The 25,105-nt window shown below is 33.8% G+C and overlaps 1 protein-coding gene across 17 annotated transcripts in view; it reads left to right on the forward strand.

The window, feature by feature from the left end:
• The window catches only part of NCAM2 (neural cell adhesion molecule 2), a 544,921-nt gene that overhangs the window by 287,402 nt on the left and 232,414 nt on the right, over window positions 1–25,105 (forward strand). For 14 of the 17 annotated variants that reach the window (NM_001352592.2, NM_001352591.2, NM_004540.5 and 11 more), the window contains 2 exons: window positions 459–602; window positions 6,294–6,431. In NM_001352592.2, the coding sequence (NP_001339521.1) occupies window positions 459–602; window positions 6,294–6,431 (282 nt within the window). Of the gene's footprint in view, window positions 1–458; window positions 615–4,269; window positions 4,342–6,293; window positions 6,432–25,105 lie in introns of those variants that run through there. The other 3 variants (XM_017028356.3, XM_011529585.3, NM_001352595.2) reach the window with 3 other exon arrangements.

Here is a 25,105-nt window from a genome sequence, read left to right on the forward strand (position 1 = left end):
GGAAAATAAATTACCTGGGGTAGAGAGATAGAGAACCTTGAAATGGAAAGGAATATTGCTATTTTATATAGGCAGGTTGGATAAGAATCTGAATGAATTGAAGGCGGTGCAAATGCCCTGTGGTGAGAACAAACTTGGAATGTTCAAGGAACCTCCAAGAAGACAGTTTTCCTGAGTGACAAGGAAGAGAGAGGAGAAATTGAGATTGGAGTTGAGGAGATACACTCCAGTTTATACAGAACCTCATATGGCATTGAAAGATCTTTGGATTTTATTCTCAGTGAGATAGGAAGGTATTAGGGAGAAGTAGATTATCTAGTTTAAGATTTTAAAGTATCTAGGTTTCCCTAATTATTTTATTATAGTATCAATAGAGTCTGGATTATGTTATTGGGAGAAATAAGCAATGATACTTTTGTGATTTGTGATTTGTGATTTGTTTTACTTTGTTGATACAGAAAAACTCACTTTCAGAGAAGTGGTATCTCCACAAGAATTCAAACAAGGAGAAGATGCAGAAGTGGTTTGCCGAGTTAGCAGTTCACCTGCACCTGCTGTCAGCTGGTTGTATCATAATGAGGAAGTCACCACTATTTCCGACAGTTAGTATTTTGGTAACTCCCTAAGTTATATGTTCTAATACTATTGCAGTTTTTAAAAATCTGAATCTATGTGTCTAGTTGTAGAAATTTGAATTTTTGACCCCAAATATTCAACAACTATTTTGAGAACCTGTAAGCTCTACATTAGGATTTTGCAATCTAGGGATCTCAGGGCAAATTCACTGCCCTTTACCCCTATGTTGTAATCAAAACACAGTTATGCCCGTTCACCACATACTGTCTGTGGCAGCTTTGGAGGCATAGTTGAGAAGCTGTGGCTAAAAAAAATATACAATCATTAGCCTAAAAAAATGTACAATCGTTAGCCTAAAAAAAATACAATCATTAGTACCTGGAGATTTACAGAAAAGGTTTGCAGACCTTTGCTCTAGTGTCAAGAAAAGATGAATACATTATAAGCAGTACTAAGTAAATGAAGGAGTACATCCTGCTGTATTCAAATTCTGTATAATTTATACATGATTCTATGGTATCACTATATGTAAACTTAGTATTGATGTGAATTATGTTTATTATTCTGGGGCAGTACGTTCAAGGTTATCTACAAGTTCTAAATATTATGGAAAGATCCATATAGATAATAGAAAAGTACTTTCATTCAAATTGTCTTCATGATTTTGATTTAGACTGTGCTAAAATTTCAGAATAATATGACATCTGAAATCGAATGTATAATTTGCTTACATTATGTTCCTTTACCATGTTCATAGGGAGCATTTTCAATTTAGAATTTTTTCAATGCACCTGCACAGCAGAGAGGTACAAAATAATTGAATCTTTTAAAGTAGTTTCCATCTTCGATGATTCTGATTTGTGTCCAAGGGATGAAGATTCTACAGCATAAAGAAGAGACAGAAAATAATATCTATTTTTGAATATGTGGGGAGAATGTATGATAATCATGTTCAATAGTCACTTTTTTAATTTTGAAAGAATTTTTCTGAGCTTAGCATGTTCAATGCTTGTCAGTTTCCATTATAATACATTAATGAGAAATAACACTTTATTTCCTCTTGTTCTGTTTCAGCATAACTCTGTACAGTGTATTAACAAGTCACATGAGTAAATGGGTTGATGTATTTTTAGCTCTTTTCCCCTCAATAATAAAGAAAAAGCAGTCCTTTTGTAACGGTGGAATGACAATGTCTAAATATTTTCAGACTGTCTAATCTTACACCTCAAGTGTAGGTTTATTGTAAAACTTTATTAGTAGAATATTTTGAAGTAAATTTTATTTTTAAAAGTCAAATAGAGCAAAGCCTCAAAGCAAAGACTGATGACAACGGGTAGTGGTGATGGAGAAGTGATATTTCCATGCTAGAGCTCATACGTATTTCCCCAGCATCCCAGGACTAAATGACGTACAGCCAGATTTCCATTTTGGCTTTCCTCCTTTCCTTGGCCCTGAAGCTTTGAACATCTTTTCTAAATGTTCTGTGCCTAAATCAGACTCTTTATCTGTAAAACACAGATGATTGCCTTCATTTAAAATAATGGCTTTGTGTCATAAATGAGACTTTAGACATAAAGTCCTTTCTTGACATCTATGGGTGATTTGTTCCAGGACCTCCCACAGATACCAAAATAAGCCGATGCCAAAGTCTCTTATATAAAAAGCATAGTATTTGGTATAACCTATGTACATCCTCCCATATATTCTAAATTACATCTGGATTATCCATAATATCAAATACAACATAAAGACTATGTACATGGTTGCTATACAGTATTATTTGGGAAATAAGGAATAGCCTGTACATGTTCAATAAAGATGCAGTTTTTAAAAAATATATTTTTCATCAGCAGTTGTTTGAATCCACGAATGTGGAATCCATGGATATGGGGGGTCAGCTATACTTCATTTGTTAAGTGAATGAATAAAATATATGGCTATATATTAGATTCTTAATAAATGACATGTATCGCTCTCATTCCTTCTCTATGAGTTTTTAAATCTTGGAATCAGTTTTGCTAAAATTACATGTGTTTAGGTTATATCTAGAACCAGAAAATCCAATGTAGAAGAAATGGGTATAGTTTAACGTGAAACATAACACTAAGTTGTGTGGCAGGTGAAAAATAAAAATAAAATAAAATCATATTTTTAACTATAGAATTTAAAGTATTCAAGTAAATTATCAGGAAGGACACACTTTTCTAACCTTGAAATAGTGTAGAAACTTATCACATAAATCATTATTGAACAATTTGTACATTTATAATAGACTTATATGAAATAATATTATTCACTGCTTATACCTCATATAGTCCTTTATTAAAGCTGATGAAATAAGATCAAGATTACAATTATGTATGAGGATTTAGAATAATGCCACGGACCCAGATATATTTATTTTGCCATAATCTGATTCAAAAGTAAAATATAGATATTCCAGAGGAAATAATGAAAGCTTGGAAATGCTCATCTTATTAGCTATGCTTTTGATTGTAGCTGCGTGGCAGATATTCAGAATTAAACTTCCTGCAGAAAAGCAGTGGAGATTTTCCATGTTGCTCATAGAAAGGAGATCCGTATGCTAAAGGATCCAAGCATTGTGGGAGTAAAGGTGACATTTTATTATACAAGTTGAATATCTGTCATCGTGATGGAGGGATATGCTATTTGCTGATATCCATTCAATCTTGGCCAGTTTGGAAATTCTCTCTTAAACTTTTTAAATGCTTTGGCCAACACCTAATTGATATACTCCTTCTGCATTAAAAAAACTGATTAAAATTACCTTGTTCAATACAATTTTTATATAACCTACTTCTAGTATAAAAGATTAATTCAACAATTATGGAATACACAGGATCTATGCTGTAGTGTACCAGATGATTATGATTCATGGTAAGCAAGATAAGTTCACTGCCTTCAAAATACTAAGAATCTAGAGGGAAAGATAAATAGGTAAATCAGTGTGAGAACAAGACACATTGAGTCTATGATAACGAAATTGTGGTAATAAAGGATGATAAAATAAATGTAAACTACGTAGGATAAGAGAGAGTGTCAAAGATGCCTGCCAGGAGGAAAAAGTTACCTTTAAATATACACACGTATTAGCCAGGCAAACGTCGGTGCGGAATTTTCAGGAAGAGGGAAGACCATGTGCAATGGCCCAGAGGTGAAAAGCAGCATGAAAGCATATTTCTGAAACTGGAATAAGTTTATTATTACTAGAACTTATTAATAAGTGCAACTTAGATACTTTTACAAATGAGTAAATCTAACTAGGATTTTTAAACAAAGGACTAATAAGAAAGGAAGCTGAAGAAGGAGGTCAAACCAAGTCAGCACAGCCTTGATATCTGCTACTACGGAGTTTGTAATTTATTCAAAGGGGGCATCATTAAAGGGATTTAATCAATGCAGTGACATAAGCTAATATACAGTTGAGAAGAATATTTGTATGTCAGTGAAAACAACAAATTAGATGGGAGTCAAGGCAAAACTCCTGAGACTCAGAATAGTTCAGGTCCTAATGAAATATTGCTGAGGGAGAAGAAGACTTAAATTAAATAACGATAAACAGAGAAGTGATGAGACATGGAGTCTGATTGGGTCTGCAGACTCAGAGAGATGAAGATGTCAAGAATGACTCGTGGAATTTGCCTTCCATGGAGTTCCATCACTTATGGAATATTCCTTTGGCAACTAGTTCCATGTAAAGGCATGTGAAGACAGAACTGGAGAATGCCAGGTGATAAATTTCAGGTGGAGATGTTGAGCTAAATTTTAAATATATTTTTCCTAATTCACATTAAATATAATCAGTAAAAATCATTATAGGTGAAGGATGATAGGTATTTTAGAAAGTTAGAAAATGCAGTAATACAATGATCTAAGTATGATAGTGTTCCTCTTCATTTTAAATTTTATTTATTTATAATTGCCTCTCATCTAAATTTCTGAACACACACTTTAAGAGAGGATTTTTAATTGACTTTGAAACTTTATGAAGTTTCAGGAGTTTCTGGTTATTTCAGGACCACTTATGAGTTATCTTCTAACATTTCTTGTGGATTGGTTTTCTTTCTCCCCAGTCTTTCTTTTGATGAGGGCATTTCATGTTTGTGCTTTAATTTACCAGGGGAAAGAATCTGAATAAACATTTTTGTCTCTCTTCTTAGGTTCAACCTAAGGAAAAAGTGAGCATTATGGAAAAGTTTACACCTCATGGGCTGCAAATCATGTGGCCGTAGCATTAGAATCACTATTTTCACTTTGGGGGAGCCTCTGAATCTGTGCATTTTCACCCCTGATTAGTTACCTCTTAAACAAAAAGCAACTACAGGCTTGTCCGTTTAATGAGTATCTATGCCCTGATGACTCTTCTATTTGTTATTTCTAGCCCCGACTTCTCCCCTCTCATTAAGGAACGGCTATGACAAATTTGCCCCCAAATTGGAGTGGCCTACTACCCTAGCAGTTTATGGCTCACTCATGCAAAGTCCAGTTGGCAGCAGAGGTATAGGCAGGATCCTACCATATCCTTTCCACGATCAGGCTGATGGAGACTCTGCCTTTTTCACATGTGGCTTCAAGTGGTTTTCCTAACCTCATAATCAAGCCACAGATAGGGAAAAAAGCAGTACACATTGGAACAGGCCCAAAGGTAAACAATAGACTGTAGATATGTTAGAGGCTGGGTACCTTAAAATAATCACCTTTCTACCTGATCAAAAATCCCAAAGGGATAGAGGCGGGGTGTCTCTTATTCATCAAAGTGTCTTATATACAGTATCCAGCAAACAGATAATAGTCAATGAGATCTATGGATGTGTTAATTAAGGAAATTTTAGATATTGCCTGTACAAAGAGTTTCAAAATTGGACTATATGTAAAAGCATTCTTTGAATGATAAGGAGAGAAAAGGTTTTAGCATGGCAGCAAGATTGAGATGCTTATAAAATCAGGGCAGACACAAAAAATAATGCCAGGCTGAGATGCTGCTTAGGTGTCACAGATTACTGTAGCAGATTACTTTACACAATCAGTGAATGCAGGCTGTATACCAGCTTATTTTTTTATATATGCATGTGCACACACACACACACACACAAATGGAATCTTGAAATAAAATAACAAAATCTAATCTATTTATTCCTAATACAGATTATCTTATTAGCCAAAAAAATCCCTTGAATAAATTTGAGATATAATCTTTTTTATATCCTTTATATGACTTGAATATTATTATATCATTTAGTTGCCTCCACAGAGACGCAAAATTTTTTGTTTAATTATTGTATGAAGAAGGATGTTCAATAAATTTTCTAGCCCTTTTCCACCCATGTTGCCGCATATTTGCAGTCAAAAGTTTGCACATCTGTGATACCTAATCTCTCTGCATTGTTCTTTTGTGTATCATTTCTGCATCCAAAGTACCAAGGGGAAATAATAGCCTAACCATTTTATGTGGATATAAAGTCTTGAATGTATTTTATTTTATTCTTTTAGGAAAAAAAAAAAGGTGTAACAAAGCAGTGTAGAGTGGAAAAATTGAAGTCATGAAATTACATTTTACTTTCAAATTTGAATTTGTTTGCTGATGAAAAGCTTGATAGTGTCAGACAGTGCCATATTTTAACTCTTAACAATTTAGAGCACTCTGGACTTAGCCTTCAATTACTGATACCATTTTCTCCCCTTTGCTTTCTTTCCAGATCGGTTCGCTATGTTAGCAAACAATAACCTGCAGATTCTCAACATCAATAAAAGTGATGAAGGTATATACAGATGTGAAGGAAGAGTGGAGGCCAGGGGAGAAATTGACTTCCGTGATATCATTGTTATTGTTAATGGTAAGCAGTAAATAATTTGTACATGTTTTATGGATTCATTTTAGCAATGTTTTTTATTAAATGGCAACCATGTGAACTCAAAATACAAGTCTTATCTAATAAACCTCTTCTATACCAGGAAGAAATCTTTCCATCTTTATTATGGCATCTGTAACATTGTATTACAGCCTCAAGGCAGGATCCATGACTTATGTTACATTGTCATTCTCATAACCCTTTTCAAATAGGCTATATGTGAGTAATTGCCTTTTGCTGGAATTGTAGTTGTTGAAAGAATATCAAATAAACATAGTACAGTATCATACTAAATGTTACTTTTAAATTACATGAATTATTTTTGCTTAAATTTACATATTTTACTCTACATGTTTCTCAAATTTAATAATTAAATTTTTAAGGTTATATTTACAAGTATTAATGGACATTAGTGACTGGTTTTATGAAATCATGATGAAATCTCTTCCTCCAAAGTTGCTTCTCCTATATAGTTCCTTCCTGTGTTAACATGATATTCTATGGAGCTGGAAAATACATTACAGTTATCTTGGCTGTCTCCTGTACTAGCCCATTTTCACACTGCTATAAAGAATACTCGAGACTGAGTAATTTATAAAGAAAGGAGATTTAATTGACTCACAGTTCCAAGTGACTGGGGAGGCCTCAAGACACAATCATGGCAGAAGGCAGAGGAGAAGCAAAGGCATGTCTTACATGACAGCAGGCAAGAGTGCGTGAGAAAGAGTGAAGAAATGCCACACTTAAAACCATCAGCTCTCATGAGAACTCCCTCGCTGTCACAAGAAGAGCATGGGGAAAACCGCCTCCATGATCCAGTCACCTCCCACCAGTTCCTTCCCTGGGATACCTGGGAATTATTAATACAACATGGGATGAAATTTTGTTGAAGACACAGATTTTGTTGAACAATTTCATCTCCATTTTGGCAGTCTAATCTGTTATGAAGACATATCCATTGTATATTTTAACATCTCTCAAACATACTCTATTTTCTCTATCATGTTGTTTTCCATGAGAGTGGTGATCTAATTTTTTTTTTTCTTGAATTCATACAACTTGGTTTCTCTACACTTAATCTCACAATTCTACCTTTCTCTCCACCAAGACTTTCAACTGTAATAATTCTTCAGTGTTTCTCACTACTGTCAAGACAAAATCAAAACGACTTTTCATGGCATAGAAAACCCATTATGATCCACCCCTTCCCTAAGCATTCTGCCATTAGATGTCAGTCATAGGGAAACTGGGTCCTTAGAGGAGATCTAGTATTTTTCAATGGTCTTTCTAGAAGTACAGAGTCCGATATTTATTAAGGGTGCCATAATCAGTGGAGTAGTTAACCTTCAGTGCGGGAGGAAGATTTCAGTGCATAAAGGATAGGTTTAAATAGGGAGATGTCTGTATCTAACCTTTATCTATATCAATATGTAACTCTTTCTCTTTATTGTATACAATAAACAAGGGTAATAAATATATAGTGGCTATTTAGTTTGTTAATTATTGAATTGTCTACCATACTTTGTATCCAAAAAGATTTATGATGAAATATGTAAGTGTATTTCATCATGAGCAGTCTTTGTGTTAAGTACGTACTTATGAAAAAGGGAATTATAATAAAAATTAATATATGTAAAATTCTTTAAAATTGGTTAAGTTTATAGGAAACAGTATATAAGTATTTCCTATTATTGTTATTATATATACATATAATTACACTAAAATATTAATTCAAGTTTGATATTAAAATGAAATTTATCCAGCAGGCATAGTAACCCTTTGTTATTCATTCTGCTATTGTAGTTTCTACTTTAATATGTGGTTGGTGCAAAAGTAATTGTGGTGTTTATCATTACTTTTAATGACAGACACCGCAATTATTTTTGCACCAACCTAATATTTTCTTTAATATATTTATAGCATGTTGTAATCTTTTTCCCTACTAGATTATCTGTGATTATTATGATTACATTCATTTTAAAGAAATGATTATTCAGGTATGAATATTCTTTTAATAAAGTGTGAATCTTCATGCCCATCATGGTCTGCATTTCAACTGGAATATTTAGTTTTATATTTCTATACTTATTTATTTCAGGATGTATAAGGAGACAAATATAGGAATATGTTTTTATGTGCCATTTCTGATCAATCATGCAAATAATTCCTGTTTTGTCTGTATCAGTTGGACCCTCCCAAAAGTAAATTCTTCTCCTCTGTCTCCCACTTTCCTCTAACAGAATCAACCATAGATTCTAATATGAACATCTTTGCTCGGACATTGATAATTAGTCTCATTTTTCCCTTTAGGATCACAAACTCGCGTAGCTTAAAATTCCTGGAATCTCTTTTATTTTAAATAACAGTGTTCATAAAATCAGGTATCAATTGATTTCCGTCTGGAGGATGCAGTTGGACACTGCTGAGAGAATGCATTGACTAATGCCATCAGACGCCTGTGCTTTTCTCTCACATTTTGCCTTAAGACAGAAAAATCATTTTACTCCAGTCTTATTGACTTTCACCCTGCTTACTGGCTCCTTTTAAATATCGAGGTTTTTTTTTTTGAAAGTTTTCCCTTATTATGCCTCTTTTATAAAACTGCTTAAAGATGTTTCAGTGAAAATTTTGAGGCTGCAAAAAATAATACCAATAAAATAAAAGTGCTACTTTTATTCATATTATTTGATCTTTAATTACTTTGACTTTGACTGCTGCCCTATTCTGTTCCTCTCAGTTTACATTCCCAGCCCTCTCACTTAATTGCTACTAATTTTTATCTTTACCAATTTGACATTTATTCTGGTCCTCTTTCATTCATCTTCTTCCACCTCAAGTATACCGAAGTCCTACCCAAATGCCCCAGTCAAATGTTTTTTCACATGCAGCGCTTCCTTGTCAAATCTTGGCCTTGTAGGAGGACCTGCCCTTTATTCTACGTTTTGTTCTTGCAAAACTTTTCCATCACATTTCTATCCTACCAATTCATACTCTTTTGTTCACCAATTAGTTGAAAGATATCCTTGCTGGCTTCCTCTGTAGTACCAGCAATAATACATGTTTAGGATCTTATTACTTCCTTTATTTTTTCTTACCTCCCTCTGTGACTTTCTTAATGTGTTTTTCAATGCCTGGGTATTGTTTTTCACAAATATTCTTCCCCTCCCTTGAAGAAGATTATACACCAATGCCTTTGATATGTGAAGTATGGCGCCTCCAAAGGAAGGATTATGCATCTTCACCCAGTCGATCATGTGACTTGCTCTAGCCAGTGACTTAGAAGCAAACAAAATACACACCATGACTGAAATCAAACTTCAAGAAAACATCACATATTTTCTCTTTTTCTCTTGTTTTTTTCCTTCCGCCATGAAAAGAGCATGACCCAAATAGGGACTTACCCTTCATCCTGGGCACCTTGATGAACACAGGAGGAGCAGATTACAGTTGATCTGCAAGTGCAGACAACATAACATGAGTACAAAATAAAGTATATTTTTAAGCACTGAGATTTTAAAGTTGTTATCATACACACACACACAAAAACAGACAAATGCAAAACTAGTGCTTTTGTCTGTTTCTCTCTCTCTCTCTCTCTCTGTCTTTAAACAATCAATTTAAGCACCATCTGACCTAGGTGTACTTTTGAAATTACTTACCTTGGTGTCCCTTTTCACTTTCCCTGATGGTGATCATTTATGACAAATTTTTGTCACCTTATTGAGGTATTGAAAATTTAGCTGAAGAGTTTTTACTGTCATTTCAAAATTATTTTATATTGTTTTCATATATTTATTCAACAGGTATATACAAAGTGCTGGCTATATGTTTTACACTATATTGTGCTTGGACTACTAAAAGGCCTAACACAGCATCATTTCCCTTTAGACACTTAGAGTTGTAGCTCAACAATCTGTAAGAATCAACTTTACTAAAGTCCTTTATTGTTTATGGGGTAGCTGGATTCAAAAGCATTTAACAAATGCAGTTTTCCTAGATATTCACAGACTATTTTTTGAGAATGGAAACCCAATGCAGCTGAAGACAGGAGAGTACCTTGGTATTAAAGATAAATATAATGAAGGAAAACTGTTATTTAGGAGAATAGGGCAATAATATGTTGCAGACAGAAAGACCAACACTTGTAAAACAAACAAGAGCATAAGTTGTGAAAAAATCCAAGCACCTAACTGTGATTGAAATATACTGTTTTTTGACAGGAATAAGAACAATGGTGTGTTGGTTGGTTTGGAGATTAGGTGGAGGTGCAGCTGAAAAGCAGGTAGCAGTCAATCATGGATGACCATCGATGCTTTATTAAAAACCTGATTTATGGGACAAGGAAGAGCTGCCATTGAGAAGCAAGTAATCCAGAGAGCAAGGGAGTTGACACAAGGATATTGGCAGGGAGAAAAAGTGAGTTCATGTGAGAGATAATTGGGGCCTTTACTAAAGGGCAAGGAAATGAAGAGGAAGGCGTACAATAAAACTAGATTTCAAAGCAAAATCATCATGTTATACCTGTGTCACAGAGGCAAGAGGAATCAAGGGTAATTTTAAGACTTCTAGTGTGGGTTTTAGGGCTTCCAGTTATCCATGCAAGCAAAAATGACCAATACAGTGTGCACAAAAATAAGTGTGCTGAATTTAGAGATTATGAGGTTGCAAGAGACATTATGGTAGATGATACTGCTTATGTTCTCTGTGTTAAATTCAGATTACAAGGACTTGAAGCATAAAGGTACACATATATTTTTTAAAGGATGAAAGCTAAAAAAAAGTTAAAGACCTGCTACCTAAGGTTTTTGGACTTAGCTATTAAATGGGGAACATCACAAAGTTGAGTTAATGACTATAGGATGTTGTTGAGGCTTTAGGACAATATTAAGGAATATTACCTTGAACATAAGGAGAATATATTTTATATTGAGCCTGGAGGAAATGAGTTAAAAAATGAGTAAGGACGTGCATAAATTCATAGGTAGATTTGGTCAATAATTTGAGAGAAATCCTGCTACATGACTTCAGTATTCTATTTTCAGTTAGCTGGTTGCCCTCACCGAACAAACATTGATATAATCTTGATAGTCATAAAAAAATTTTACTTGCTTATATTAAACTTTTTATTGGATCTTCAGGTAAGCTCTCCAACCTGCCTAAAACCTTTCTGTTCATGAACCTCTGAGTAAATGCTTTCCTCATATCATCATACCTTGTTTCACTCTGACATACTATGTGAAATCTTTTAAAAACAGATTAACAGAGACATTGACTGAATTGATTGGCTACCTTTTCCATAAATTCATATTCTTTTAACTAGATAATTGTGCTATACATATACACAAACATGCCCACTTACACATCATGGATACGCTTTTCTAAAAGAGGATTAATATTGTCTCTCTTACTTTAACCCACATATATTCTCCCACCATCTGATTCCTAGGCTTTAGTTAAATAATACACACTGTACTACTCAAAAAAAAAGGCTCATATAGATGAAAGACCTGGAAATAACTTTTAAACTTAAAATACAGTCAGTAGAGTGTTCATTTTATAAAATGTTCTTCTAACGTATAGTGATTTATTATTTTATGAATATTTTGTAAATTTGTAAAGAGTGATTCACTAACTGCAGGTTCAAATTGGGGTAATGGAGGCAGGAACAATTGAGATTGGATAAAAAACACCTAGTAATGCAATTGTAAAGCAATTGTTTCTTTAGTCGATCTTTGAACAGTAAAATCAACAGTGGGTGATAATGGCCAGAGATGTCCGTACAAATGAGTGTCTGAATGTATAGTGCACTTTGTTATCTCAGTAACCCCCAGGCAGTAATTTTTGTATTCCTACCTATTTCTTGCAATTTCTTGAAGTCATGAAAATGAGGCAAAAAAACTTTTCTATTTATAAAAAATGAAAAGTTAAGTCAAAATTTTCTCTTTAAGTTGTATGCAGTGTTTTAGAATGTAAAGCATATACAAGTATGAAAGAGTGAATTTGTCTCTTGTAGTTGAATCATGTAATTGAATCAACCATGCAGACAGCTATTTTAAGTCAGTTTAATGAGTGCAAATTATGAGGGAATTTGTAGTTTGTAACAATGTTATATAATATACAATATATAAATTTACCCAAATCAATAAATATTTACCCAAACCAGAGTATTTTATAGTTTTATTAATTGTGTATCCCTAATGATTTTATTAAATTTCAAGAATAGGCAATCTGGGAACACAAGAAAAGAAAAGTATATCTTTTTCTCCTTATCTCTTATATAACTGTTACTTCAGAAATTTTTAGTTTATATAAACTAGAGAAATGATAGATACAGATAGATAGATAGATAGATAGATAGATAGATAGATAGATAGATGATAGATAGAGATAATCTGCACAGATCTAGGCACATCTTTCTTTGCTTTTCTCTTCCATATAAGTAATTGATTTGAGTATTTAATACAGTTCTTTTCCTTAAGTCTCTATTTCTCTTTTACTCAGATTTTCTAAGTACACTTAGTGTCATAATATCATATTTGAAAAGCTGTAGAAAAGCATGTATTGATTTTTCAACATTGTACTTTTAATCCCTGATTAAATATATGGCAGAATTTTCTCATTGTTTGAATTGGATTCCCATTCTGAATTTATCTGTTTCAAGTGTAACAGTCTTCTGCTTGTTGATTAGGGGCTGACCTTTGTATGTTGTTCTCTAAAATTTATTTGATGAGTACAGAAGTGAATCCTATCATTTGTGAAACCACAACTTATAGAAATCTATAGGGATCACAAGATACTGCAATAATGCAAATTTTTATCATTTCATAGAATCAATCAGTAAAATAAAAGTCACCATCAAGATGCCATCTGACATTGTGGAGATGAATGGCATTCAGGAAAATTAATGTCTAAATAACTTTGGAGAGACATTCATGGGTCCTGTTCCTCAAAATGTGCTGCACTAGAGGATAACCTATGAAACCATATCAGTATTTTATTCACACTGAAATTCACGAATGACCAGTATCACCACTATCTCTTGCCTTTTTTTTTTTTGCTTGTGTCATATCCTATGGCTTTTAATAAAAGCATAGGTATTCGGAGAATGTCTGTTTCTGATGGTGAAAGTAATAAAGCAGAGAGAATTCAACTCACGTTACATAAAAATGAAATAACCACTCAGTTATAAGTAAAACTAGTTCCATGTGCTACATCATCTTCTTAAGCATAGTTTGTTTTTCTTTTTATGCAGATATGCTTAATTTCTCTAGGATGAGATTTCACAATCTCCGTCTAAAATGTGATTCTCTCTCTCTCTCTCTTTCTCTCCTTCCCTCCTTCCCTCCCTCCCTCCCTTTTTAGCCAGACTGATTGCTATTTGTCTTATAAAACTTAGTCCAAGCATCATTTCTAGAACTAGAAAGCAATTCTAAATATGACCTGCCTTATTGCAAGATTTCTTCCCATGAGATCTCATAGTACTAGGTCCACTCTGTAAACTTTTCAACGCTTAAGTATTTGAAAGGACTCAGCAGGCTTCACAAAGTACAGTTGTTCCTTGGTATCTATGGGAAGTTGGTTGTAGGACCAACATCCATGGGATACCAAATCCATGAATGCTCAAGTCCCTTTATGTAAAAAGGCATAGTATTTGCATATAGCCTACACACATTCTTCCCATATACTTTAAATCAGCTCTAGATTAGTTATAATACTTAATACATTGTAGATGCTGTGTAAATAGTGTTACACTGTATTTTAAAAAAATTGTTCTATTTTTATTGCTGTATTGGTATTTTAAATGATTTTTAAAAATATTTTTGATCCCTGCTTCGTTGAGTCCTCAGATGCAGAACCTGGGGATACAGAGGGCTGACTGTATAGTCATGTAAATGCCCTATTCTTAAAAAAAAGGATATGGTGCAGCCAGAAAAAGAATGCAAAGTGTCAGACCTGTGAGAGACAATCCCCTGCACAAGATTTCCAGGGGCCCTATTTGCAAACAAGATGATGTGTATGTTCACCTTGAACCACGAAGATCCAAATGAGGCACCTCAAAGAGACTCTCAGGTAGAGTTCTTTAAGTAATTTAGCCAAGCTTCACAAATTGTTTAGGTTGAGTCCAAACTATCAGTGCAGAAAATGACTTTGGAGGTTGCCAGGAAACTTTCTGGTCCATCATAAATTCCAATGTCCTTACCTTGGCCAAAAGTCATCCACGTATCTTTGAAGATATTGATAGAACTTTTCCAGCTGATCCAGAAACCAACTCCATTCCACAGCCTCTTTACAATGTACCTTTCACACTGACTTGAAATTATCCATTTATGTGTGACATTATCTCACAGATAACACCATTAATCCTTCAAGGAAAAAGGTGATATTTTATAACCTTAAGGTATACTGTAGAGATTTGCATACAGGAGGCGGTCTATAACTTCTGGAAAGATTTCTTTAATTTTTAATTATTTTGTGCAAATATGTGATTATCTCAATCACAAAGATATTTTATTTCATAATTATTACTTAGTTTTTTTCTCTATCCCTTTAGATTATATAATCCAAGTTATTTTACTATTATCTTGAGAACATTTCCTCCTCAAACTATCAATCTAGTAATGCACTTCCAGATATCTTGCATGTATTTTAAGTTTGTCATGTACAATAATCTGCATAGATTTAAAATTTCAACATATATTTATTAATGTATGTGTATATATAGATATGCGTTTGTGTGTCGGAAAAATAATCACCACGGATAGTGAATATATCTTCTTTTGAGAAGTATTTGTTCGTGTCCTTTGCCCATTTCTTTAAATGGGATTGTTTGTTTTTTGCTTGATGATCTGTTTAAGTCCCTTAGAGGCTCTAGATATTAGATCTTTGTTGGAGGCATACTTTGTGAATATTTCCTCCCATTCTGTAAATTGTCTGTTTATTCTATTGATTGCTTCTTTTGCTGTGCAAGAGCTCTTTAGTTTATTTGGGTCCAACTTGTCAGTTTTTATTTTGTTGCAGTTGTTTCTGGGGACTCAGCCAAAAATTATTTGCGAAATTGGATGTCTAGAAGGGTATTTCTTAGGTTTTCTTTTAGGATTTTTATAGTTTGGGGTCTTTTTTTTTTTCTATTTTTTTTTTTTAATTATACTTTAAGTTTTAGGGTACATGTGCACATTGTGCAGGTTAGTTACATATGTATACATGTGCCATGCTGGTGCGCTGCACCCACTAACTCGTCATCTAGCATTAGGTATATCTCCCAATGCTATCCCTCCCCCCTCCCCCCACCCCACCACAGTCCCCAGAGTGTGATATTCCCCTTCCTGTGTCCATGTGATCTCATTGTTCAATTCCCACCTATGAGTGAGAATATGCGGTGTTTGGTTTTTTGTTCTTGCGATAGTTTACTGAGAATGATGGTTTCCAATTTCATCCATGTCCCTACAAAGGACATGAACTCATCATTTTTTATGGCTGCATAGTATTCCATGGTGTAACAAATTTACAAGAAAAAAACAAACAACCCCATCAAAAAGTGGGCGAAGGACATGAACAGACACTTCTCAAAAGAAGACATTTATGCAGCCAAAAAATACATGAAAAAATGCTCATCATCACTGGCCATCAGAGAAATGCAAATCAAAACCACTATGAGATATCATCTCACACCAGTTAGAATGGCAATCATTAAAAAGTCAGGAAACAACAGGTGCTGGAGAGGATGTGGAGAAATAGGAACACTTTTACACTGTTGGTGGGACTGTAAACTAGTTCAACCATTGTGGAAGTCAGTGTGGCGATTCCTCAGGGATCTAGAACTAGAAATACCATTTGACCCAGCCATCCCATTAGTGGGTATATACCCAAAGGACTATAAATCATGCTGCTATAAAGACACATGCACACGTATGTTTATTGCGGCATTATTCACAATAGCAAAGACTTGGAACCAACCCAAATGTCCAACAATGATAGACTGGATTAAGTTTGGGGTCTTTTATTTGAATCTTTAAACCATCTTGAGTTAATTTTTGTATCTGATGAAAGGTAAGGGTCCAGTTTCAATCTTCTGCGTATGACCAGCCAGTTATCCCAGCACTATTTAATGAATAGGGAGTTCTTTCCCCAGTGCTTGTTTTTTTGGCCTTGTTGAAGCTGAAATGATTCTAAGTGTATGATTTTTCTATTCTGTTCCATTGAACTATGTGTCTGTTTTTTCTGTACCAGTACCACATTGTTTTGGTTATGCTTATCATCACTAATCATCAGATAGATGCAAATCAAAACCACAATGAGATACTGTCTCACACCACTCAGAAGGCTATTATTAAAAAGTCAAAAAAGCAACAGATGTTGAAGGCTGCAGAGAAAAGGGAATGTATATAACTATTGTTGGAAATGTAAGTCAGTTCAGCCACTGTGGAAAGCAGTTTGGAGACTTCTTAAGAAACTTAAAACAGATATACTATTCAACCCAGCAATCTCTTTACTGGGTATATACCCAAAGGAATATAGATCATTATACCAAAAAGGCATAGAGACGTGTATGTTCATCACTGCACTATTCACAATAGTACACACATGGAATCAACCTAGATTCCCATCAATATTGGATTGGATAAATAAAATGTATTACATATGCAACATGAAATACTATGCAGCCATAAAAAGAATGAAGTCATGTCCTTTGCAGTGACATGGATGAAGCTGGAGACCATAATCGTAAGTGATCTAGTGCAAGAACTGAAAACCAATACCACATATTTTCACTTGCAAGTAAGGGCTAATCCTTGAACACACATGAACCTCCGCATGGGAACCATAGACACTGCAGAATACTAGAGCAGGGAGGGAGAAAGGGAGGCGTGGGCTGAAGAACGACCTTTTGGGTACTATGCAAACTGCTTGGGTGTAATGTGCCCATGTGACAAACCTGCACATGTACCCCTGTATCTAAAGTTGAAAAAAAAAAGAATATAAAGCTTTAAAAAGAAGTCAGAAGTGGAAATGAAAACATAGTAAACTTTATGAAATGCTAAAAAAGATAGTGACTATAGTGAATGTATCTATTATCCATAATAATTTCTAAAAATGTCATATAACCGTGCAATATGTATTTTCTTTTAAGTGGATTCTTACCCTTTTTTCACTCAAAAATTATTTTGAGATTCATTTATGTTATCCCATGCCATAATATGTCATCTCTTTTTATTGCTATTAGTATTCAATTTTAAGAAGATTTCACAATTTTCTTACCCATTCACCAAAATGGCTTTTGGGAAGTTTCAGATTTTTGGCTTACAAATATATACATATTTATATATTATCTTGGTATGGGCATGTTTTTATATCTCTTGGTTAAATACCTGTGAGAGGTAATGGCTGGATCACATGCCAAGTGTATGTTTATCACTTTTAAAAAACACTTCCTAAAAGTTTTCCAAAGTGATTGTACTATTTTACCTTCCCCAAAGCAGTGTACGGGTATTTCGGGTATTTCACTTGCTCCACATCCTCACCAAAACTTGACATACTCAGGACTTTATGTTTAGACATCCTAATACATGTTTAGTGGTTTCATGTTGTGGATTTAATTTGCATTTCCCTAATGCCTCAGGATGTTAAACATCTTCTCATATACAACTCAGCATTGATCATTTTTGGTAAAATGTCTTTTCAAATATTTAACGTAGTTTTAACTGGGCTGTTTTCTTATTATTGAGTTTACTGAATTCTTTATGTATTTGGAATGTAATCCACTTACCAAATATGTGATTTAGAAATATTTTTATCCAATCTGTGGCTTGTTTTTCTATTTTTTAACCACTGCCTTTCAGTGGGTGAAAGATGTTGATGAGGTTTAATTTTTCTTTTTTCATATGAATCATGCTTATTGTTTCAAATCTACGAATGTATTGTGTAAAACAAATATGTTAATACTAAGATTTTCCCCAATTCTTCTTTCTAGAAGTTTTGTAGTTGTTGTTTTTAAGTTTAGATTTATGATAATTTTTTCTTAATTTCTTACGATATTGTGACAAATTGGCGAAAGGTTTTGTTTGGTTTGTTGTATTTTTTTTTTGGCATGTGAATGTCCGATTTTTCATCATTGGCTAAAAACACCGTACTTTAGCAACAGAATTGCCTTTTCATTATTTAAAATATATTTTAATATATGTGTTTTAGGGAATCTATTCTGTTCCATTGATCTATTTATTTGTCCCTTTACACCAACAAAAGCCGTTATGATAAGTTAGAATAATGTATTATAAGTCCTCCAACTTTGTTCATCTTTTCAAAGTAGTTTTAATATAGAATAAAATACTCTAGGTTCTGTTCATTTCCATATTAATTTTAGAATCAAGCTTTCAATTTTTACATATACATATGCACTAACACACACATACACATCCACTACCATAACTTTGATTAGAATTGTGTTGAAGCTATAGATCACTTTGAGAATAATTGTCTTCTTGACATTATTGATCCTTCTGTTCCAGAAACAGAAAATCTCTGTATATTCAGGTCTCTTTAATTTCTCTCAGCAGTGTTCTTAAGTGTTTTTTATACAGTCCTAACTCATCTTTTGGCAGATTTATCTCTAATTATTCCATATATTTTGATGCTATTATAAACCACATTTTAATTGTTAATTGTAGCATCATATATAAAGATAGATAATATATTCTGAAATGTACTAAATTCATTTATTATAGTAGTTCATAATTAGCTTATGGTTCCGTAGAATTCTCTACATAAATGATAATATCACTGTGGGTCAGGCACAGTGGCTCACGCCTGTAATCCCAGCACTTTGGAAGGCCAAGGCAGGTGGATCACCTGAGGTCAGGAGTTCAAGACCAGCCTGGTCAACATGGTGTAATCCCGTCTCTATTAAAAATACAAAAATTAGCTGAGCTTGGTGGTGGGCACCTGTAATCCCAGATACTCGGGAGGCTGAGGCATGAGAATTGCTTGAACACGGGAGGTGGAGGTTGCGGTGAGCCAAGATTATACCGATGCACTCCAGCCTGGGCGATAGAGCAAGACTTTGTCTCAAATAATAATAATAATAACAATAAAAATAATAATATCACTATGAATAAAGACACTTTTACTTATTCCTTTCCAATCTGTATGTTTTTCCACTTTCGCTTATTATACTGGGTAGACAGACTCTCCTGGTGAATAGAAATGATACAATTGAACACACTTGGCCTTGTCCATAAACTTTGGGAGACAGGGCATTCATTCTTTTAATATCAAATGTTTTTAGATATAGGCTTTTCAGGGATTTTTAAAATCAGGTTGAGAAACTGACCTTTTCCTAAATTACTGAGTTTTTTTTATCAATAATGAATTTTTCTCTGTCTGCCTCCTTTCTGATCAGACTGGATAGAGTTTTATTAGTTATATTGATCTCTCAAAGAAACAGCTTTTGGTTTTTCTTGATTTTATATTTGTTTTTCCTTTTCCTATTTTATCAGCGTGCCATCTGATCTTTATTATTTTATCTTTCTGGCTTATTTGGAGGTATATTGATCTTTTTTTCTGTTTTCTCAAGGTTAAACCTGATAATACTGATTTGAAATCTTTCTTGTCTTCTAATGCATGTATTTAGTGCTGAATAATTCCCTATATGTCTACTTCAACTTTATTTCACAAGTTTTGATATATTGCATATACATTGCCATTCATTTTAAAATGTTTTGTAATTTCCCTTTTGACTTATTATTTATCCCATGAAACATTTAGAAGTATGCACTTAGCTTCCAATTATATGTGGATTTTCCAGAGATAGTTCTGTCATGAATTTCTAATTTGATTCTAATGAGGTCAGAGAACATACTATGATTTAGATCAAGTATATTCCTGATGCACTTAAAAAGAATGTGTATTTTGTTGATGTTGGTTAATGTTTTGGTAATTATCAGTTAGGTTACAGTCAATTGGTAATGTTAATCAAGTCTTCTGTATCTTTTTAACCTACTTGCTCTATTAGTTATTGAGAAATAGCTGTTTAAACTCTAATAAAATTAAGAATTTGTCTATTTCTTTTCACAGTTCTGTCAGTTTATTCTCCATGTATTTTAAGCTCTCTTATTATATAGATAAAAGTTTAGAATCATGATGTCCTCCTGATGAATTGACGTCTTTCTCATTAGGAATTGATTCTGTTTATTCCGGATAATATTTGCTCCAATACCTGAGTGTTAGCAATATAGCTACCCCAGCATTTTTTGCATTAAGGATTACATGGTGTATCTTTTTTCCTTTCTTTTAATTTTAACATATTTTAATTTTGAGGGAACATAGTAGGCATATATATTTATGGGGTACATGAGATTTTCTGATACAAGGATGCAATGTGAAAGAAGCACATTCACATGAGAATGGGGTATCTATCTCCTCAAGTGTTTTTCCTTTGAGTTACAAACAATCCAGTTACACTCTAAGAGATTTTAAAATGTGCAATTGCATTGTTATTGACTATAGTCACCCTGTTATGGTATCAAATAGTAAGTCTTATTGATTCTTTCTATTTTTGTACCCATTTACCATCCCCACCTCCTCCCCCAACCCCCTACTACAATTCCCAGCCCCTGTTAATTATCCTTGTACTCTCTGTTCCCTGAATTCAATTGCTTTGATGTTTAGATCCTACAAATAAGTGAGAGTATGCAATGTTTGCTCTTCTGTGCCTGGCTTATTTCACTTAACGTAATGATCTGCAGTTCTATCCATGTGGTTGCAAATAAGCATTTACCTATACTTAAAGTGGGTTTTTGTAGGATGTGTACAGTTGTGGTTTTTTAATCCATTCTGACAGTCTCTACCTTTGAATTAGAGTGCCACACATTGAATATATTACTGATGTAATTGGGTTTAAGCCTATTACATCTTGCTATGTATTGTCTGATATCTGTTCATAGTTTTATTTTTCTTCTGTTTCTTCATTTTTGAATATTTTAATGAATCAATTAATTTCCTATTTTGTCTTGTTAACTATAACTCGTTCTTATTTTAGTACGTGGTTTTCAGTCTTTTTTCAAATGCTGTTGCACTACTTCACATATAATGTAAAAAATACCCCCTCCAGCCTTTGTGCTAAGTTTATCAGATATTTTTACATTAATCATAAAACTCATAATAGTTTTCTATTTCTGCTCCAACAAATTACAACAAATTTTGTGGCTCAAAACAGCAGAAATTAATAATTAGGTCAGAAGTCCACATAGGCTCTGCTGGGATCTGCTCAGTATATTATAAGATCACGATCCAGGGGTCAGCAAGACTATGATCTTTTCTGGAGGCTCTGAGGCAGAATCCTTCCTAATGTCATTCAGGTTTTTGGCAGAATCCAGCCTCTTTCTTCTGTTGGACTGAGGTCCTGTTGGCTTGCTTGAAGTCACCTGCAGGAGGGTGCCTTTACCTTTGAGCAATTCCCTTCTGAACCTTGAATGGGAATCTCTAAAGCTCTGTAGCAGCAGTATGTTAAATCCAACCCATACTTGGAATATTTCTGACACATCTCTCTTCTGCTGCATCTCTTCTGCCTTCCTCTTCTTCTTACAGCTGAAGAGAAATCTCTGCTTTTAATATCAGATGAAAAGGGGATCATGTGATTGGTCTCGCCTAGATAATTCATGATAATTTCCTCACTTAATGTCTGTAACTTTAAAAAACACCTGCAAAGTCTTTTTAAATCATGATATTTAATGTGTTCATAGATGGCCAGGTGTTAGGGCATTGACATCTTTGGGAAGAGACATTATTCTTCCCCCAACAACTGTGCTATGCATACACACATACACACACACACACACGTACACACACTATGTATAGATTCAAACTTCCAATTAGCTCATATTCATAAATTATTACATTAAAATTAATGTTAAAGTTATTAGAAAAAAGTATTTTATATTTATCTACATAGTTACTATTCACAAGGCTTTTCAATACTTTGTGTAAATCCAGATTTCTATCTGGTATAAGTTCCCAGATGCTTGAATGACTTCCTTTAGCATTTCTTGTAGTGCACTTCTGTTGTTAATGATTCAGTTCACCTACTGTATGTCTGAGAAAACCTTTTTTTACTTTTATATATAAAATACATTTTTGCTGGATATAGAATTCTAAATGAACAGATTTTATTTTTTCAGTACTATAAACATTATGAATCATTATGTTTGCCTGAGTTTTTTTAGATACAAACTCCTCTGACATTTTGTTCCTCTGTACATAAAGTATCCCATCCAACCAGTCACCCCCAGATTCTTAGAGATTTTTGCTTTATCGCTTTTCTTAAGCAGTGTGGATACATTATACCTTGGTGAAGCTTTCTTCATCATACTTGTACCCAGGTTTTGGTGATGACCTTGATTGATCATTTTTAACAAATTTAGAAAAGTTTTAGTCATTAGATGTTCACATATTGTTCTCTGTCCCACATTCCTTTGGGACTCCAATTTCACATATATAGGCTACTTGAATGTTCCAACTGATCTTGATCTTATCTTTCATTTTCCGGATAATTTTCAGAAAATAATCTTATCTTTCATTTTTGATCATTTTCTTTCCTTTTTTTCCTTTTTGTATTAATTTTTGGATATTCTCTCTTATTACATGTTCTAGTTTACTAATCTTTTCTTTGGCAATGTTTAATCCACTGTTCATTCTGCTGAAGGCTTCATCTCAGGCACTTTAGCTTTTAATATGTAGACACATGATTTTTAAAATACCTACCCCAGAACTGAAAATGAAAATAAAAATAAGTTAAATTTCTGTGAAGTCTTCAACATGATCAGTCTTTCATCTAGATTTTTGGTTGCATGGAATGCCATCATAATAACTGATTTAATGTTATTGTGTACTATCATCTGTTATTCCTGGGTTAGTTTTTGGCCAATTATATTTTATCCTCATTATATCTTATATTTCCTGCTTCTTTTCATAATAATTTTAGCATGGATGCTAGATGTTATAAATGTTACCTCTTTATCTGCTGTTTTTTTGTTTTGTTGTTCTTTTCAATATTTTAGACCTTTTTTTTCTAGAAATACAGATGAACTACTTGGAAACAGTTTAATCCTTCAGTCTGTGCCTTTAAGCTTTGTTAAGTTTGATCAGAATAGCTCTGGACTTTCTTTGCCCCACCCATGAGATAAGAATGTTTCTGAATTCTTTATCTGTCATGCATTAGGAGTTGATTTTATTCTGGCTCATGAGAGTATGAACTTTTGTTTGCTCTGTTTGAGCTTGGAAGTTGTTCCTTCCAATTCTTTTGCACAGTTCTTTCCCTGGCCTCAGTTACTTTCCTCTCATGGGTGCACTCATCAGTACTCATCTGGAGGCTCCAGGGTTAATCACTGCAAATCTCAGGGAATCCTCACTTTGCCATTAAGTCCTGTCTGGCACTGTGGCCTGTGAACTATAGCCAATATCCACTTCTCTGTACTATTAGCACTACCTCCGCACTCAGAGAGACCTCTAAACTCCAACTGAGATCCTCATTCCTGTGCTGCAATCTAGAAACTCTCTCTAGACAGTAAGCTGAGACACAGCAGGACTCACCTCATTTCCCCCCATATTTTAGGAATTTCTATTGAATGATTTCATTGACTGATTCACAAAGTCTTGAAAAACAGTTGTTTTATACAATGTTTCTGACATTTTTAGCTGTTTCAGGTGCTAAGATAAATTGGGTATACGTTTCTGCATCTTGGTTGGAAACTGATATTTTTAGATATATGTTTCAGTACAGCAAACAAAATTTCAGTGTTCTAAGGTTTTGAAAAATGTATCCTAGTAATAGGAAGACCTGACTTCTAAATATTTTAATCTCTCATTCTGTACTAAACTCAAAGCAATTTCAGATAGCTATGTCTGAATTTCACTTTCTTCCTACTTTATCCATACATCTTGTTCTATAATAAATTATTTTTATTAATTAATTACTTTAATTCTCCCTCAGGTTTGCCAGTGAATTTTTAACAGCAGGGTATCACAATGGTTTTTTCAAAATATGTAGCACTATGAACTGAAACATGGCCCACATTTTAGGTGTCTCAGGAACATGAAGAATATACAACCAGTGCAATCTGAAGTTCATAACAAAGACAAACAGTAGGAAGTGAAGGAATCTTCAGAATACTTTGGGTAGATCAGAGCAATGATTTAAAGAAAGAGAAGAGTCTGATGAACTGAAGTAGAAACAGGCATTCCTTGAAGAAGAGTCATGATTCCCTCAAATAGGCAGAATTAAAAATGTTTTTCTGCTTTAGATCAGGAACTGACTTCTCCAGGAGGATGGGCTGTTTCAGAGTATCAGCTTATTGAATCTGATTGTAACTGTTACAAAACACAATGACAATTTTTTAACTATCAATATGATTTTTAATATTTGCATGTTTGTTTTCAAGTTAACATACAGTAAAATTCACTTTTTTAATTGTAGAATTCTATGAATTTTAACGTATACATAGATTCATCTTGGCTCTACTACAGTCAGTATACAGAATTGTTCTTTCACCCCAAATCACTCTCTAATCCCTTTATAGTCACTTCCTCTTTCAACCTCTAAACTCTGACAACCACCACTTCTTTCCCTGCCATTATAATTTTATCTTTTCCAGAGTGCCATATTAGCACAG

Source organism: Homo sapiens, chromosome 21 (assembly GCF_000001405.40).
Source record: "Homo sapiens chromosome 21, GRCh38.p14 Primary Assembly".
Lineage (NCBI taxonomy): Eukaryota > Metazoa > Chordata > Mammalia > Primates > Hominidae > Homo > Homo sapiens.